The following is a 19,047-nucleotide window of genomic DNA, read 5'->3' on the forward strand; positions in this document are numbered from 1 at the left end:
ATTTCCAAATCTCTACACTATCTTCCTGGTGACAAATGGCAGCCAATAATTATTGAGAACCATGCTAGGTGACAGGCACTGTGCTTCTCTTCTGTCTACTGCATCTCTCTCCTCAGCCTATCATTAGTTTACAATCAACCAAATTCATCCTTCTCGACCTCAATGCCAGTTCTCCCTCCTGACTCGCCAGTGTCTATGAAGGGTATTATGAGGCCCAAATTGGAAACCTTGATATCATCACCTTTCATTTCAGCTTCTCCTCTCTCCCCCATATTCAATTAATTTAATGGTTCTCTAACTACACTACCTTAAATGCTGGAGGTTTGGAAGCTAGACAAAGGTGCCAAAAATGGCCTTTTCCCAATTTGCATGAAAAAATAAGGTAATATAATTTTAAGTTTTCTTACCACAAATTTTTCTTAAACCTTTATCACCTGCTACTCCCTGTCTATTCTGGAATGTAATATAAAATAATATCTGATTTAGGGAAAAAATGTAAAGTTTAATATATAAATATTTCATAGTATTCCACAGAATACCATGACTTTTAGGTACTTCATCACCTGAACATGCTTGAGTACCACTGAACTAATAATTTGCAACTTATATTCCTGCTAAATTGTTCTTTCCTGTGCAATGTGAAACTTTTCCTATGAGGAAGTCAGACCAAGGTAGGAAAGGTCAGACCAATTTGCCTGAGAAAATATTAAAAAGTAGGCCATTGGGACACTATAAATTTCTTTCTCCTCAATTCCAGGCTATAACTACTTATCCTGTGGTAGCAAAGAGAATAACCAGCTTATAGGTGGAATAGGAATAACTTTCAATGATCACTGTAAGAATAACTGACTTTGTATTCTAGTCACAAGTGAGACAGCCTAGGCTACATTCACCAGTTAAACCAGCACGTTCTGGATTGCCATTCTCTTCTGATTATCAGTATTTACACCATAGATAAAGCACAACATTAGCCTAAGAAAAATAACAGAAATATAAATATTTATACTCCTAAAGCGGATTGCTAAAGCCACATGATTTGGGGATTATCAGTTATCTGGAACCATCACAAATATAAATCCTGGGAGTTAAACATATAAATAGACTACTGATTATATTCTTTTAAGAACGAAACCCAGTCAACACCAAACTGCATCACTGAGTTAAACATTTATGTAATTATGCAATATACAGCAACTGAGTACCGTTATGTGCCACATACAGTGCAAGTCACTCAAGGTTTAACAGTGAGCAAGAGGCTCACAGTACCTGACTTCATGAAGCCCACACACTATGAGAAAGACAATCAAAGAACACTAACAGCCAGTGATGATAACAAAGTGCCTTCAAGTGCGGCAGGAGGGTAAAGGGGATGCTCGCTTAAGGGTTCTCAGCCAGAGCTCTAATTGAGCTGAAACCTAAAGAATGAGCAGAAGTTAAACAAGGGAATCTACACGTGTGATTAAGGTGAGAGGTGAGGGGTGCTATCAATGAGGCTGCGGTCAGACTAGCATGGAAGACAAAATACACTTAGAATCACATCGATCTGGGCTCCAGTTGCAGCTCCACCACACAAACGGCCTAACATCTCTGACTTCAGTCACTTCATTTGTAAAGGGCAGTGATAAAAATACTTACTTCATAGGATTATGGAGAGGATTAAATAACATAATGATGTAAATTTATTCATTCCACACTTGATAGCTCTGTGACCTTGTGCAACTGGAAACCTCTCTGTGACTTTCTCATCTGTAAAATGGGGATCTAACAGTACCTTCTCCATAGGATTGTTAATAAGGATAAACTCAAAGAATAAACATGAAAATTTAACAAGACAACAAATATAAACTATTTGGAATAAGTTCTAAAGTTCAAAAGAGTTCAATAAATTTTGGTTATTCAATTTGTGTTATTTTTATACTAACAGACAGAGTTGAGGTCTCAAAGGGCCTTAAAGCCATATTAGGTGTATGGATTTTAATCTGGAAGCATGGAGAGCAGCTGAAGGATTTTAAGCAGTCAACTGACATGTTCAGATTGGTCTTCTGGAAGGCTCACCCTGGATACTGTACAGAGACTGGACTGGAAGAGTCAAAGTGGTAGAAAGAGCCCAGTCAGGAGGAATTACAGCCATTAAGGTAGGAGAAGATGGTGCCCTGGACCAAGGGAACATCAGCGGAGAGATGAGTGCATGAAGCAACAAGGCTAGATATTTGCATTTAGGATGTGAGATGTCCCCAACATCTTACAGACTATTCCCTCTCTCCTGCCCTCTACCCTCCTATTAAAAATTCATGAAGTTTCTTTCATTCCCACTATCACCACACTCTGCGATTCCCAAACTATAACTTTAGTTTCCACTGTCATGAACTTCATTCAGGTCTAAATGTCACCTGCCCCTGGAAAGCTCCTCACACTTAATATAACCCATATCAAAGCAATCATTTATTTCCCTAGAAAAATCTCAATTTCCCTATTTTTAATCCTAGTTCTGCCACGTCTTTCTCTCAATCACCCAGGCTACAAACTCTAGAGTCCTCATCATGTGGTTGTGAAGACCTTCTAATCTTCTGATGCTACATCTTGATAATTCTCACTGACACCTGGACTCTTAAAATAAAGGTGATGTCTGCCTGTAATCCCAGCACTGTGGGAGGCTGAGGCGGGTGGATCACGAGGTCAGAAGATCGAGACCATCCTGGCTAACACAGTGAAACTTCATCTCTGCTAAAAATACAAAAAAAATTAGCTGGGCACGGTGGTGGGCGCCTGTAGTCCCAGCTACTCGAGAGGCTGAGGCAGGAGAATGGTGTGAACCCGGGAGACAGAGCTTGCAGTGAGCCCAGATCGCGCCACTGCACTCTAGCCTGGGAGACAGAGCAAGACTCCGTCTCAAAAATAAATAAATAAATAAAAATAAAGGCGATGTCATGTAAAGCAAAAGAAAATATCCAAATATCGGCCCTCATGACCTCTCTTCTATAATAACAGGTTCATTTGTCTTCCACCTTCAGTCATTTTACCCTTCAGTCCTGGTTATACTCATGGGTCACACACACACATACACACACACACACACACACACACACACACACATACACACACACGTAGAGACAGAGAGAGACTAATAAACAGGCAGAGCTACCTAATCTCTTGAATTAAAATTAGTTACATTGGTTATAATAATTACACACAAAAAGTTCAGTGAAAGCAGAGACAGGAATAATTCTAACAGAATGCACTCTAGAAATTTCAGCTTATTCTGTAAGGCAATAAAGTTCTACCTTCGTGGTGCAAATGCCTGCTAGTTACTAGGAATTCAACTAGGAACAATGAACATAAACCAGTTCTTCAGCCACAGATCTGAGAAGGGGATCTGACCATCACTCGCAAGCACAAAGAACAGTGCCCATGGTAACCCATTCAACCACCTGTGGCAAAACAGCAAATCTAGATAGAGCTCTCCTTACTCAAGAAAGCAAGTGAAAAATAAAAGATCTGTCAAAAAACATTGCAAATGAGAGAAAAGCATCATCATCTCTTGGAAGACGAATATATTTCTGAAAAAGATTAAGAAATATGCTTCAGGAAACTGACATCCTTAAATAGAACAGAGAAAAAAAAAACACCACCTCTATAAAACAGGAACAAAAAGCTGCAAGGAAGAGGAGAACAAGACAAGTAACAACAGCTGTTTTTTTTTTTTTTAAAAAGGCCAATGTAACCTTGATATCAAAATCCGACAAGATTACAAAAAAAAAATTGTAGCCAAAATCTCTTATGAATACAGATGTAAACATAAAACAAAATATTAGTAAATGGAATATAATAATATCCAAAAAAGAATAGTATAACATGACCAAGTGGGTTTATCCCAGGAATGCAAGGCTGGTTTAACATTTGAAAATAAATGTAATTCACTACATAAAACTGGAAAAAGGCCGGGCGCGGTGGCTCACACCTGTAATCCCAGCACTTTGGGAGGCCGAGGCAGGCGGATCACGAGGTCAGGAGATCGAGACCATCCCGGCTAAAACGGTGAAACCCCATCTCTACTAAAAATACAAAAAATTAGCCGGGCATAGTGGCGGGCGCCTGTAGTCCCAGCTACTTGGGAGGCTGAGGCAGGAGAATGGCGTGAACCCGGGAGGCGGAGCTTGCAGTGAGCCGAGATCCCGCCACTGCACTCCAGCCTGGGCGACAGAGCGAGACTCCGTCTCAAAAAAAAAAAAAAAAAAAAAAAAAAACTGGAAAAAAAGAAGATGGCCGAACAGGAACAGCCCCGGTATACAGCTCCCAGCGTGAGCAACACAGAAGATGGGTGATTTCTGCATTTCCATCTGAGGTACCGGGTTGATCTCACTAGGGAGTGCCAGACAGTGGGCGCAGGTCAGTGGGTGCGGGCACCGTGCACGAGCTGAAGCAGGGTGAGGCATTGCCTCACTTGGGAAGCGCAAGGGGTCAGGGAGTTCCCTTTCCGAGTCAAAGAAAGAGGTGACGGATGCACCTGGAAAATTGGGTCACTCCCACCCGAATATTGCGCTTTTCGGACCGGCTTAAAAAACGGCGCACCACGATATTATATCCCGCACCTGGCTCAGAGGGTCCTACACCCACGGTGTCTCGCTGATTGCTAGCACAGCAGTCTGAGATCAAACAGCAAGGCGGCAGCGAGGCTGGGGGAGGGGCGCCCGCCATTGCCCAGGCTTGCTTAGGTAAACAAAGCAGCCAGGAAGCTCGAACTGGGTGGAGCCCACCATAGCTCAAGGAGGCCTGCCTGCCTCTGTAGGCTCCACCTCTGGGGGAAGGGCACAGACAAACAAAAAGACAGCAGTAACCTCTGCAGACTTAAATGTCCCTGTCTGACAGCTTTGAAGAGAGCAGTGGTTTTCCCAGCACACAGCTGGAGATCTGAGAACGGGCAGACTGCCTCCTCAAGTGGTTCCCTGACCCCTGACCCCCGAGCAGCCTAACTGGGAGGCACCCCCCAGCAGGGGCACACTGACACCTCACACAGCAGGGTATTCCAACAGACCTGCAGCTGAGGGTCCTGTCTGTTAGAAGGAAAACTAACAAACAGGACATCCACACCAAAAACCCATCTGTACATCACCATCATCAAAGACCAAAAGTAGATAAAACCACAAAGATGGGGAAAAAACAGAACAGAAAAACTGGAAACTCTAAAACGCAGAGCGTCTCTCCTCCTCCAAAGGAACGCAGTTCCTCACCAGCAACGGAACAAAGCTGGATGGAGAATGACTTTGACAAGCTGAGAGAAGAAGGCTTCAGACGATCAAATTACTCTGAGCTACGGGAGGACATTCAAACCAAAGGCAAAGAAGTTGAAAACTTTGAAAAAAATTTAGAAGAATGTATAACTAGAATAACCAATACAGAGAAGTGCTTAAAGGAGCTGATGGAGCTGAAAACCAAGGCTCGAGAACTACGTGAAGAATGCAGAAGCCTCAGGAGCCGATGCAATCAACTGGAAGAAAGGGTATCAGCAATGGAAGATGAAATGAAGCGAGAAGGGAAGTTTAGAGAAAAAAGAATAAAAAGAAATGAGCAAAGCCTCCAAGAAATATGGGACTATGTGAAAAGACCAAATCTACGCCTGATTGGTGTACCTGAAAGTGATGGGGAGAATGGAACCAAGTTGGAAAACACTGCAGGATATGATCCAGGAGAACTTCCCCAATCTAGCAAGGCAGGCCAACGTTCAGATTCAGGAAATACAGAGAACGCCACACAGATACTCCTTGAGAAGAGCAACTCCAAGACACATAATTGTCAGATTCACCAAAGTTGAAATGATGGAAAAAATGTTAAGGGCAGCCAGAGAGAAAGGTCGGGTTACCCTCAAAGGGAAGTCCATCAGACTAACAGCAGATCTCTCAGCAGAAACCCTACAAGCCAGAAGAGAGTGGGGACCAATATTCAACATTCTTAAAGAAAAGAATTTTCAACCCAGAATTTCATATCCAGCCAAACTAAGCTTCGTAAGTGAAGGAGAAATAAAATACTTTACAGACAAGCAAATGCTGAGAGATTTTGTCACCACCAGGCCTGCCCTAAAAGAGCTCCTGAAGGAAGTGCTAAACATGGAAAGGAACAATGGTACCAGCCGCTGCAAAATCATGCCAAAATGTAAAGACCATCGAGACTAGGAAGAAACTGCATCAACTAATGAGCAAAATAACCAGCTAACATCATAATGACAGGATCAAATTCACATATAACAATATTAACTTTAAATGTAAATGGACTAAATGCTCCAATTAAAAGACACAGACTGGCAAATTGGATAAAGAGTCAAGACCCATCAGTGTGCTGTATTCAGGAAACCCATCTCACATGCAGAGACACACATAGGCTCAAAATAAAAGGATGGAGGAAGATCTACCAAGCAAATGGAAAACAAAAAAAGGCAGGGGTTGCAATCCTAGTCTCTGATAAAACAGACTTTAAACCAACAAAGATCAAAAGAGACAAAGAAGGCCATTACATAATGGTAAAGGGATCAATTCAACAAGAAGAGCTAACTATCCTAAATATATATGCACCCAATACAGGAGCACAAAGATTCATAAAGCAAGTCCTGAGTGACCTACAAAGAGACTTAGACTCCCACACATTAATAATGGGAGACTTTAACACCCCACTGTCAACATTAGACAGATCAATGAGACAGAAAGTCAACAAGGATACCCAGGAATTGAACTCAGCTCTGCACCAAGCAAACCTAATAGACATCTACAGAACTCTCCACCCCAAATCAACAGAATATACATTTTTTTCAGCACCACACCACACCTATTCCAAAATTGACCACATACTTGGAAGTAAAGCTCTCCTCAGCAAATGTAAAAGAACAGAGATTATAACAAACTATCTCTCAGACCACACTGCAATCAAACTAGAACTCAGGATTAAGAATCTCACTCAAAACCGCTCAACTACATGGAAACTGAACAACCTGCTCCTGAATGACTACTGGATACATAACGCAATGAAGGCAGAAATAAAGATGTTCTTTGAAACCAACGAGAACAAAGACACAACATACCAGAATCTCTGGGACACATTCAAAGCAGTGTGTAGAGGGAAATTTATAGCACTAAATGCCCACAAGAGAAAGCAGGAAAGATCCAAAATTGACACCCTAACATCACAATTAAAAGAACTAGAAAAGCAAGAGCAAACACATTCAAAAGATAGAAGAAGGCAAGAAATAACTAAAATCAGAGCAGAACTGAAGGAAATAGAGACACAAAAAACCCTTCAAAAAATTAATGAATCCAGGAGCTGGTTTTTTGAAAGGATCAACAAAATTGATAGACCGCTAGCAAGACTAATAAAGAAAAAAAGAGAGAAGAATCAAATAGACACAATAAAAAATGATAAAGGGGATATCACCACCGATCCCACAGAAATACAAACTACCATCAGAGAATACTACAAACACCTCTACGCAAATAAACTAGAAAATCTAGAAGAAATGGATAAATTCCTCGACACATACACTCTCCCAAGACTAAACCAGGAAGAAGTTGAATCTCTGAATAGACCAATAACAGGCTCTGAAATTGTGGCAATAATCAATAGTTTACCAACCAAAAAGAGTCCAGGACCAGATGGATTCACAGCCGAATTCTACCAGAGGTACAAGGAGGAACTGGTACCATTCCTTCTGAAACTATTCCAATCAATAGAAAAAGAGGGAATCCTCCCTAACTCATTTTATGAGGCCAGCATCATTCTGATACCAAAGCCGGGCAGAGACACAACCAAAAAAGAGAATTTTAGACCAATATCCTTGATGAACATTGACGCAAAAATCCTCAATAAAATACTGGCAAAACGAATCCAGCAGCACATCAAAAAGCTTATCCACCATGATCAAGTGGGCTTCATCCCTGGCATGCAAGGCTGGTTCAATATACGCAAATCAATAAATATAATCCAGCATATAAACAGAGCCAAAGACAAAAACCACATGATTATCTCAATAGATGCAGAAAAAGCCTTTGACAAAATTCAACAACCCTTCATGCTAAAAACTCTCAATAAATTAGGTATTGATGGGACGTATTTCAAAATAATAAGAGCTATCTATGACAAACCCACAGCCAATATCATACTGAATGGGCAAAAACTGGAAGCATTCCCTTTGAAAACTGGCACAAGACAGGGATGCCCTCTCTCACCACTCCTATTCAACATAGTGTTGGAAGTTCTGGCCAGGGCAATTAGGCAGGAGAAGGAAATAAAGGAAAAGAGAAAGTCAAATTGTCCCTGTTTGCAGATGACATGATTGTATATCTAGAAAACCCCATTGTCTCAGCCCAAAATCTCCTTAAGCTGATAAGCAACTTCAGCAAAGTCTCAGGATACAAAATCAATGTACAAAAATCACAAGCATTCTTATACACCAATAACAGACAAACAGAGAGCCAAATCATGAGTGAACTCCCATTCACAATTGCTTCAAAGAGAATAAAATACCTAGGAATCCAACTTACAAGGGATGTGAAGGACCTCTTCAAGGAGAATTACAAACCACTGCTCAAGGAAATAAAAGAGGATACAAACAAATGGAAGAACATTCCATGCTCATAGGTAGGAAGAATCAATATCGTGAAAATGGCCATACTGCCCAAGGTAATTTACAGATTCAATGCCATCCCCATCAAGCTACCAATGACTTTCTTCACAGAATTGGAAAAAACTACTTTAAAGTTCATATGGAACCAAAAAAGAGCCCGCATCGCCAAGGCAATCCTAAGCCAAAAGAACAAAGCTGGAGGCATCACACTACCTGACTTCAAACTATACTACAAGGCTACAGTAACCAAAACAGCATGGTACTGGTACCAAAACAGAGATATAGATCAATGGAACAGAACAGAGCCCTCAGAAATAACGCCGCATATCTACAACTATCTGATCTTTGACAAACCTGAGAAAAACAAGCAATGGGGAAAGGATTCCCTATTTAATAAATGGTGCTGGGAAAACTGGCTAGCCATATGTAGAAAGCTGAAACTGGATCCCTTCCTTACACCTTATACAAAAATCAATTCAAGATGGATTAAAGACTTAAATGTTAGACCTAAAACCATAAAAACCCTAGAAGAAAACCTAGGCATTACCATTCAGGACATAGGCATGGGCAAGGACTTCATGTCCAAAACACCAAAAGCAATGGCAACAAAAGACAAAATTGACAAATGGGATCTAATTAAACTAAAGAGCTTCTGCACAGCAAAAGAAACTACCATCAGAGTGAACAGGCAACCTAGAAAATGGGAGAAAATTTTCGCAACCTACTCATCTGACAAAGGGCTAATATCCAGAATCTACAATGAACTCAAACAAATTTACAAGAAAAAAACAAACAACCCCATCAAAAAGTGGGCGAAGGACATGAACAGACACTTCTCAAAAGAAGACATTTATGCAGCCAAAAGACACATGAAAAAATGCTCATCATCACTGGCCATCAGAGAAATGCAAATCAAAACCACAATGACATACCATCTCACACCAGTTAGAATGGCAATCATTAAAAAGTCAGGAAACAACAGGTGCTGGAGAGGATGTGGAGAAATAGGAACACTTTTACACTGTTGGTGGGACTGTAAACTAGTTCAACCATTGTGGAAGTCAGTGTGGAGATTCCTCAGGGATCTAGAACTAGAAACACCATTCGACCCAGCCATCCCATTACTGGGTATATACCCAAAGGACTATAAATCATGCTGCTATAAAGACACCTGCACACGTATGTTTATTGCGGCATTATTCACAATAGCAAAGACTTGGAACCAACCCAAATGTCCAACAATGATAGACTGGATTAAGAAAATGTGACACATATACACCATGGAATACTATGCAGCCATAAAAAATGATGAGTTCATGTCCTTTGTAGGGACATGGATGAAACTGGAAATCATCATTCTCAGTAAACTATCGCAAGAACAAAAAACCAAACACCGCATATTCTCACTCATAGGTGGGAAATGAACAATGAGATCACATGGACACAGGAAGGGGAATATCACACTATGGGGCCTGTGGTGGGGTGGGGGGAGTGGGAAGGGATAGCATTGGCAGATATACCTAATGCTAGATGATGAGTTAGTGGGTGCAGCGCACCAGCATGGCACATGTATACATATGTAACTAACCCGCACAATGTGCACATGTACCCTAAAACTTAAAGTATAAAAAATAAAAATAAAAAAAACAATAAAAAAATAAAATAAAATATAAAATAAAATAAAAAATAAAAATAAATAAAAAAACTGGAAAAAAGAAAAATTATAATCGTCTCAAGAGATGCAGAAAAGGCATTTGGTAAAATTCAACATCCATTCATGACAAAAACTCTCAGCAACGTAAAAATGGACAGAAACTTCTCAAACTGATCAAGGGCATCTAAGAAAAACAGCTATCAACATACTGGTTGACACTGATGAGATGGTAAGATATTAAGCACTTTCCTCTGAATTCAGGTATAAGACCACTATATCTGTACTCAGATGAACCTATTCATCATATCAGAGGTCTTACCCAGTGAAATAAGGCAAGAAATAAAAAGTATAAAGATCAAAAACTAGGAAGTAAAATTGTCATTCACAGAAAACCTGACTGTATACATATAAAATAAAAAAAACCTAAAAACATCATTAGAATTAAGTACATTTAGCAAGGTTGCTGGATACAATGTCAACATACAAGAGAAATCTACTGTATTTCTATATGCTAGTAAAAACTAGAAAATGACATTTAAAAAGCAATGCCATTTACAATAGTATGGGAAAAAAAATCAAAGAACTACAAATAAATCTAACAAAAGATGTTCAGGACCCTGCACTAAAAACTACAAAATGCTGCTGAAAAAAAATTGAAGATATGTAAGGAGAGATATGTCATCTTCATTAACTAGAAGACTCAATATTGTTAATATCAACTCTCTACAAATTAGGGATGCAATGCAATTCCATCAAAATTGTGGAATTTCACAAGCTGATTATAAAATGTATATGGTCATGCAAAGGACCTAGAATAGTCCCAAACAATCTGAATAACAAAATTGAAAGAATTCCACTATTAAATAACGAGACTTACTTTAAAGGTACAGTAATTAAGATTGCATGGTATTAATGCAATGGAAAGAACAGAGTCCAGAAATACAAACGTATACCTGATTTACAAGAAAGATGCCATTGAAATTGAGTGGGAAAAGAATCGTCTTGATAAATGTTAAGTCAAATGGACAACCACATGAGGGAAGAAAAGGAATTAACCTTGATGTATAACTTATATCATACATAAAAATTCATATGAAATGGATCACATCACGGAACTAAAATTAAAATGTAAAACAAAGCTTCTAGGATAAAACAAACAAAAGTATATTCATGGTCTTTGGTTAGGCAAATATTTCTTAAACAGAACACATCAAAAAGTAAAGAAAGGAAAGGATCAATAAAATAGACTTAAGATCTCTTGTTAATCAAAAAGCACTATTAAGTGGCTGGGCCCAGTGGCTCACGCCTGTAATCCCAGCACTTTGGGAGGCTGAGGCAGGCAGATCATTTGAGGTCAGGAGTTCAAGACCAGGCTGGACAACATGGTGAAACCCTGTCTCTATTAAAAGTACAAGAATTATCCAGGCGTGGTGGCACACACCTGTAATCCCAGCTACTCAGTAGGAGGTTGAGGCATAAGAATCACTTGAACCTGGGAGGCAGAGGTTGCAGTGAGCCTAGATGAAGCCATTGCATTCCAGTCTGGGCAATGAAGCAAGACTCCATCTCAAAAACAAAAACAAAAACAAGCACTATTAAGTGTAAAAAGGCAAGCTGCAGACTGAAGAAAGATTTTTGTAATACTTATGTCTGACAAAGTACTCACATTCAATAATATAAAGAATGCCTACCAATCAGTAAGAAAAGAACAGAGAACATAGTGAAAAACAGGAAAAGACCTGAATAGGTACCTCACAAAAGAAGATATCTAAATGGCCAAGAAGCATATGAAAAGGTGCTTAACATGAGTAATCAGTCATCAGGGAAATGCAGATTAAAACCACAATGAGCTACGAAAACATGACATTAATGGCTAATAATATGGCTAAAAAAGACTAACAATATAAAGTGTTGGATATGAAACAAGTGGAACTGTCATATATAGCTGATGAGGTATGAATTGGCACACAATTTGGAAAACTGTCAGAATCTACTAAAGCTAAACATATTTATAAATTTTGAACAAGCAATTCCAATCCTGGGTATAAACCTAACAGAAAGGAACACTTTTGTTAACTGTAAGACATCTATAAGAATATTCATAACAACTTTATTCATAATAGCCAAAAATGGGAATCGTACTACGCAGCAATGAAAAACAATGAACTACAATTACATACAACAACACAGATGAATTCTACCAACACAATGTAGAGCAGAAGAAGCCACACCCATGAGCATATACTGCAAGATTCCATTTATATGAAGTTCAAGAATGGGCAAAATTGCTACAGTGACAGAAATCAGAATAGTGATTTTTTTTTTCTTTTTTTTTTTGAGGCGGAGTCTTGCTCTCGCCTAGGCTGGAGTGCAGTGGTGCGATCTTGGCTCACTGCAAGCTCCGCCTCCTGGGTTCACGCCATTCCCCTGCCTCAGCCTCCCAAGTTGCTGGGACTACAGGTGCCCGCCACCATGCCCGGCTAATTTTTTTTTGTATTTTTAGTAGAGAACAGGGTTTCACCATGTTAGCCAGTATGGTCTCAATCTCCTGACCTCATGATCCGCCCACCTCGGCCTCCCAAAGTGCTGGGATTACAGGCTTGAGCCACCGTGCCCTGCCGTGATTATTTTTAAATAGGTATTGACTGGAAGGGGCATGAAAAGCCTTATACTATGCTGGAGATAGCCTGTATCTTGATCTGGATGGTGATTACACGAGTATATAACCATTAAAAATTAATCAAGTGGTATCCTTAAAATCTGTGTACTTTACTGTATGTAAATGATATAACAGCAAAAAATTTAAGTTTAAAAATATGTGTAATGGCAGAAGAAAATCTACATTAGAAATAACAAAAAACCCTGCACATTACATATAAGACAAACATAAGATGGTTCTGAAAGGCAGAGAGAGAAGCAGAACAGCTAGTGACCTCAGGACCCAAGGAGTGAGCAGAGATGAGTCCCCTGGGTTTTTCCTTGCCTCATGTATCACATTGTTGGAGCCAGAGAAGTCAGCAACCTGGAAATGCCAATTGATGCAGACCCAAAAATGCTCAAACAAAAGCCAGCTTTCTTCTAGCCAAAGGACCAAAAAGGGCAGCTAATAAGTCAAAAAATTTTTTAAGAAAATACTCACCAAACACCACAGGAAACCCTGTCGTCCCACCCTCACCCAAATCCATAAAAGACAAGGAGAAAGCCTAGGTTTCTGGGCTGTGATGAGGAACCCCATCCAGCCCACCCCCGCCAGAGTAGTGCTACAGAAAGCTAAGGAGGGAGCTGGGGATTGCATCATCCCCCACCAGGCAGTAACAATGACCCCATCAGTGTGGTTTCAGTGGAGACCCTGGACTTCCACCGCCTCTGGCAGTAACGAGGTTCCCCTTTCCCACGTCCACTTGGATCATGTGGAGGAGACCTACCAGAGACTAAGGATTTTTATCACCTCCCAGTGATGAAATGGGACAAGACCACTCCCCTCCACCCCGTGGTGTCTGTTGAGTCCCCAGTGGGAGCAAGAATAAGGCATTACCCCACCCAGCCATGGAGGTTTCCATGGAGGCCTACTAGGGAGCCAGAACTCCCACCCTACAGTGTAGTAACGGAATCCTTCACCTTGGATGTCAACGGAAGCAGAGTAGGGAACCTGAATGTACACCCCAACTTTGAAAAGCAAAGAAGAGCAGCCTCCTTCCCTTCCAGAGCAGTGTCAGAGAAAGCCAGACCAAAGACAGTTTAAAAAAAAAAAAAAAAAAAAAAAAACCTTCAAAGTTCAGCAGGAAATTTTGTCAACCTAGAACTCCATGCCCATACAAACTACTAATCCCCTGTGAGAAAGCAGACATTTTTCAGACATGCGAGAACCCACAGTTTACTTTTTATGTACTCTTTCTGCAGGGGTGCTACTGGGGCTATCTCCTATAAGAACCTGAATATGTACTCCAGCGAACAAATTAAAGCAAAATGATCACACAGGGCCAGGAAATAGTCAAATCAACCTTGAAAAGTGATGAGAGGACATTCCAGGGTTATAACAATAGAGCCAATTTTATAAGGATTTAACAGGAAGGTGGGAGGGAACCATCAGGGGTACAGGGAAGCCTGGAAAAACTGCAAGTATAATTTCAAGTGTGGAAAAAAATTAAGGATACAATAAAAGCAAATAATGCAAGAGGGAAAAAAAGATTTAAGAAACTCTGGAAGAGGGAGAAGAAGAGAAAGAATACTGCTTTAAAATATCAAAATCCGACCGGGCATGGTGGCTCACGCCTGTAATCCCAGCACTTTGGGAGGACGAGGTGGGTGGATCACCTGAGGTCAGGAGTTCGAGACTAGCCTGACCAACATAGAGAAACCCCGTCTCTACTAAAAATACAAAATTAGCCAGCCATGGTGGTGCATGCCTGTAATCCCAGCTACTCGGGAGGCTGAGGCAGGAGAATCGCTTGAACTCGGGAGGCGGAGGTTGTGGTGAGCTGAGATCACGCCATTGCACTCCAGCCTGGGCTCGAAACTCCTATCTCAAAAAAAAAAAAAAAAAATCAAAAGCCAGATATGGACCTTTATTTTCCAGTCTCAGGCACTTTCTGCACTGCAGGCAGCAGTGCAGACATGGTCAGGTCCGAGAACTATACCACACATAACCAGTTCCAAACAGAAATGGCATCGATAGGCCCTGATCATAAAGATATATTTTAAGCGGGTAGAACCTTAGTTCTTAAGGATCATGCACTTTGCCAAGAAACACAAGAAGGGTCAAAAGACACAGGCCAATAAAATGAAGACCATCAAGGCCTTTGTCAAGCTCAAGGTCTTGAAGGGCACCTGTGTTGGTCTGTTCCTGCCATTGCTATAAAGTACCTGCGACTTCTTTATAGCAATGCCAGGCGCAGTGTCTCACCCCTGTAATCCCAGCACTTTGGGAGGCCGAGGTGGGTGGATCACGAGGTCAGGAGATCGAGACTATCCTGGCTAACACAGTGAAACCCTGTCTCTACTAAAAATACAAAAAAAAATTAGCCGAGCATGGTGGCGAGCGCCTGTATGTAGTTCCAGCTACTCTGGAGGCTGAGGCAGGAGAATGGCATGAACCCGGAAGGCCAAGCTTGCAATAAGCCGAGATCGCGCCACTGCACTCCAGCCTGGGCAACAGAGCAAGACTCCATCTCAAAAAAAAAAAAAAAAAAAGAAATACCCAAGACTGGGTAATTGATAAAGAAAAGAGGTTTAATTGGCTCATAGTTCTGTAGGCTCACAGTGCTGGCATCTGCTTCTGGAGAGGCCTCAGGAAGTTTACAATCATGGCTGAAGGTGACAGGGAGCCAGCGTGTCACATAGTGAGAGTGAAACAAGGGAGGGAGGGGGAGGAGCCACACTCTTTTAAACAACCAGATCATGAACTACTAGAGCAAGAACTCAGTCATCACCAAGGGGATGATGCCAAGCCATTCATGAGGGCCCACCCCCACGATCCCAATCACCTCCCACCAGGTCCCACCTCCAACACTGGGAATCACATTTCCACATGGGATTTGGAGGCGACAAACATCCAAACCATCTCAACCTGAGTCCCAAGCTCAGGAGCCATGCTGATTATAACATCATCAGTTGCCAGGTTCTGCTGGCCAAAAGCTAGCACCCAGGCCAAGGCCCCCACAAAGGCTGCAAAGTAGAGGTTTCCATCCTGCCAACATGAGGATGAAAGCACTTGCATGATCTCCTGGGCTGCTCTCTCTACAGGGCTAGTGTACAAATAATTTGCTGTTTTGTACAAATATATGCAAACTTATCCATATATGATGCCAAAGACATTTAGCATAATTTTCAATTCTGGATGGATTGCAAGAAAAAAATTACTGTGACCCTGATGTTATTAACATTCTCCTTCAAATGGGCTGAAAATGTTATTTTAGCACCCTACCCGATCTAGTGGAGTTAAATACTTATATTTAAATATTCATAATAACATTCCACTTTTAGAATTAACCAAAAGACAAATCACAGAAGATTTGATTCTGGTCATGGATCAAAATTTCAATGACCACATAATGTTAAAGCATAACTTTGAAAAGGTAGAAGGAAGAGCTAGGATAATACCCTTCCCCTTACAAAGTGTGAAATCAAAAGACAGTGTTGAGGGTTAATGGAACAATAAAGAGGTTTAAGTTAATAACCATTATAAAAATTAAAGTAACACAAAATAGATAAAATATCAGATGAGTAGAAGAGAGAAGTACTATAAAGTTACTTGTCTTTCATTTCAAGGAGTTAACAGATACTGTCTAAAGTTAATTAACAGAGAGAGATTTATCTATGGTTATGAGTTAACAACCAGAAAAACTAAAAATAGGGTCAGTTAATAAGAGTTTGTCTCCAAAGAGTGGGACTAGGGAAGAATAGGGTAGAGGATTGTTGCTTATCACAGGCTCTTATTAAGTATTTGATTCGTGACCATATATGTTTGTAACTTTGCATGCACTTGTAACTGATAAAAATAATTTTTAAAGTTTGACAAACACTCTGTTGATGAAGCTGTATGACAACAAGCATTCTCGTGTGGGAATATGAATTGGCACAATCTCTATGGAGGAGAATTTGACAATATCTAGCAAAATTACATACAAAATTACCCTTTGACCCAAATTCCACTTGGAAAAATCTATCGCAATGGTATAATGGTAAAAATACAAAAAGGTGCATACACAAGACTATTCATTACTGCACCATTTGTAATAATAAAAGACTAGAAGCAACCTAAGTGCCCGTCAGTATGAGATGGGTTGAATAAACCATAGTCCATCCATCCAATAGAGTACTATTGCTGTCCTACAGAGAAATGAGGAAGAGCCCCACATTCCCTGTATTTTTCCAGGAGAGACCTCTTTACAGGATATATTATAAAATGAGAAAAGTTAAGGGGCGAAAAGTATACATGGAATGCTATCACTTATCTGAGGGCCTGGCAAGAGGAGATGTGAATATATCTACGTATTTGCTTTTTTTTTTTTTTTTTTGAGACAGAGTTTTGCTCTTGTTGCCCAGGCTAGAGTACAATGGCACAATCTCGGCTCACCGCAACCTCTGCCTCTCAGGTTCAAGCAGTTCTCCTGCCTCAGCCTCCCGAGTAGCTGGGATTACAGGCATGTGCCACCACGCCCAGCTTATTTTTGTATTTTTAGTAGAGACGGGGTTTCTCCATGTGGGTCAGGCTGGTCTCGAACTCCCGACCTCAGGTGATCTGCCCGCCTTGGCCACCCAGAGTGCTGGGATTAAAGGCGTGAGCCACTGTGCCCGGCTGCCTTTTTTGTTTTAATGGAAGGACAAATGAAAATCTAAAATCAAACTCGGTACCTATGTCAGGGAAGGAACACGGTGGTAGGCAGGGATAGAAGTTAGACTTATGAATATGCCTGTTTTGTAGCTTTGGCTTTGAAACAATATAAATATTTTAAGTAATTGTTTTAAAAATCAAATTATTTTTAAACAGTAATTCCAACAGATTAAAAGAAAAAATTATAAAAACCTAACTATGGGCCAGGCACGGTGGCTCCTGCCTGTAATCCCAGCACTTTGGGAGGCCAAAGTGGGCAGATCACTTGAGGTCAGGAGACCAGCCTGGCCAAAAAAGTGAAACCCTGTCTCTACTAAAAATACAAACATCAGCTGGGCATGGTGGCAGTTACCCGTAGTCCCAGGTACTCAAGAGGCTGAAGCAGGAGAATCACTCGAACACAGGAGGCAGAAATTGCAGTGAGCCGAAATCGTGCCACTGCACTCCAGCCCAGGCGACCGAGCAAGACCCTGTCTCAAAAAACAAAACAACAACAACAACAAAAAACTAACTTTGTATTGAGTTGGAGACACAACCACAGAAAAAAACCAATTCTACTGACTTTAAAACAGTAATTTGACTACAGTCCCAGTGAAATATACCCTAACGACCAAAAGAACTGCCAAGTTTTAAAAAGCCAAAAACATAACTATTTTCAGTAATCGCATTGTTGACGGTAATGTTAGTGCTGCTGTTGAGCTGTCTAGGTATTGCGGGATAAAGCAAAAGAGTAATGGTGTTGGTGTTGTTGGAAATCAAGACTTTGATATAGGTATGGAAAATTCCAATGTAAAAGTGATGAGGTTAAATAAAACTGCTATAGTCTAGAACTGGAAAAAGCAATATGAACACATAATGCAATTTACCTTTAAAAACACACACACATATTCCCAAATTCTGACCCCTGGAGAATCCTAGAAATTATGACTGACCTGGTAGCAAACCCACCCCATCCCCAAAAGTCCTAAATCCCAGGCTGTGATTTCTAATACTATTTCCCACCAAAAGGAACCAGGACTCCTTAGAGAAACACTGGGTCTGGAGGAGGAAACACAGATGATGAGTCTGGGACACTCTGTCATACCAAAAGGCAAGGGAGCTATTAGAAACTACTGGGATCCTGGCCGGGAACAGTGGCTCACGCCTGTAATCTCAGCGCTTTGGGAGGCCGAGGCAGGCAGATCACAAGGTCAGGAGATCGAGACCATCCTGGCTAACACGGTGAAACCCCATCTCTACTAAAAATACAAAAAAAAAATTAGCCGGGCGTGGTGGCGGGCACCTGTAGTCCCAGCTACTTGGAAGCCTGAGGCAGGAGAATAGCGTGAGCCCGGAAGGCAGAGCTTGCAGTGAGCCAAGATCGCGTCACTGCACTCCAGCCTGGTCAACAGGATGAGACTCTGTCTCAAAAAAAATAAATAAATAAATAAATAAAAGAAAAGAAACTACTGGGAT

The 19,047-nt window shown here is 40.9% G+C and overlaps 1 protein-coding gene across 28 annotated transcripts in view, besides 3 other annotated features; it reads right to left on the bottom strand.

The window, feature by feature from the left end:
- The window catches only part of DENND1A (DENN domain containing 1A), a 550,469-nt gene that overhangs the window by 519,457 nt on the left and 11,965 nt on the right, over positions 1-19,047 (bottom strand). The gene's annotated exons all lie outside the window — the stretch shown is intronic.
- Positions 4,199-4,699: an enhancer, noted in NCBI's record as "NANOG-H3K4me1 hESC enhancer chr9:126665592-126666092 (GRCh37/hg19 assembly coordinates)". NCBI's record gives its function as "activates a minimal SCP1, AML or CMV promoter by ChIP-STARR-seq in naive H9 embryonic stem cells {active_cell/tissue: H9 hESC(naive)}" and the evidence as "EXISTENCE:reporter gene assay evidence [ECO:0000049][PMID:30033119]".
- Positions 4,700-5,200: an enhancer, noted in NCBI's record as "NANOG-H3K4me1 hESC enhancer chr9:126666093-126666593 (GRCh37/hg19 assembly coordinates)". NCBI's record gives its function as "activates a minimal SCP1, AML or CMV promoter by ChIP-STARR-seq in naive H9 embryonic stem cells {active_cell/tissue: H9 hESC(naive)}" and the evidence as "EXISTENCE:reporter gene assay evidence [ECO:0000049][PMID:30033119]".
- Positions 15,513-15,602: an enhancer, noted in NCBI's record as "active region_28952". NCBI's record gives its function as "activates an Ori minimal core promoter by ATAC-STARR-seq in GM12878 lymphoblastoid cells {active_cell/tissue: GM12878}" and the evidence as "EXISTENCE:reporter gene assay evidence [ECO:0000049][PMID:35858748]".

Source organism: Homo sapiens, chromosome 9, assembly GCF_000001405.40.
Source record: "Homo sapiens chromosome 9, GRCh38.p14 Primary Assembly".
NCBI classification, from domain to species: Eukaryota; Metazoa; Chordata; class Mammalia; order Primates; family Hominidae; genus Homo; species Homo sapiens.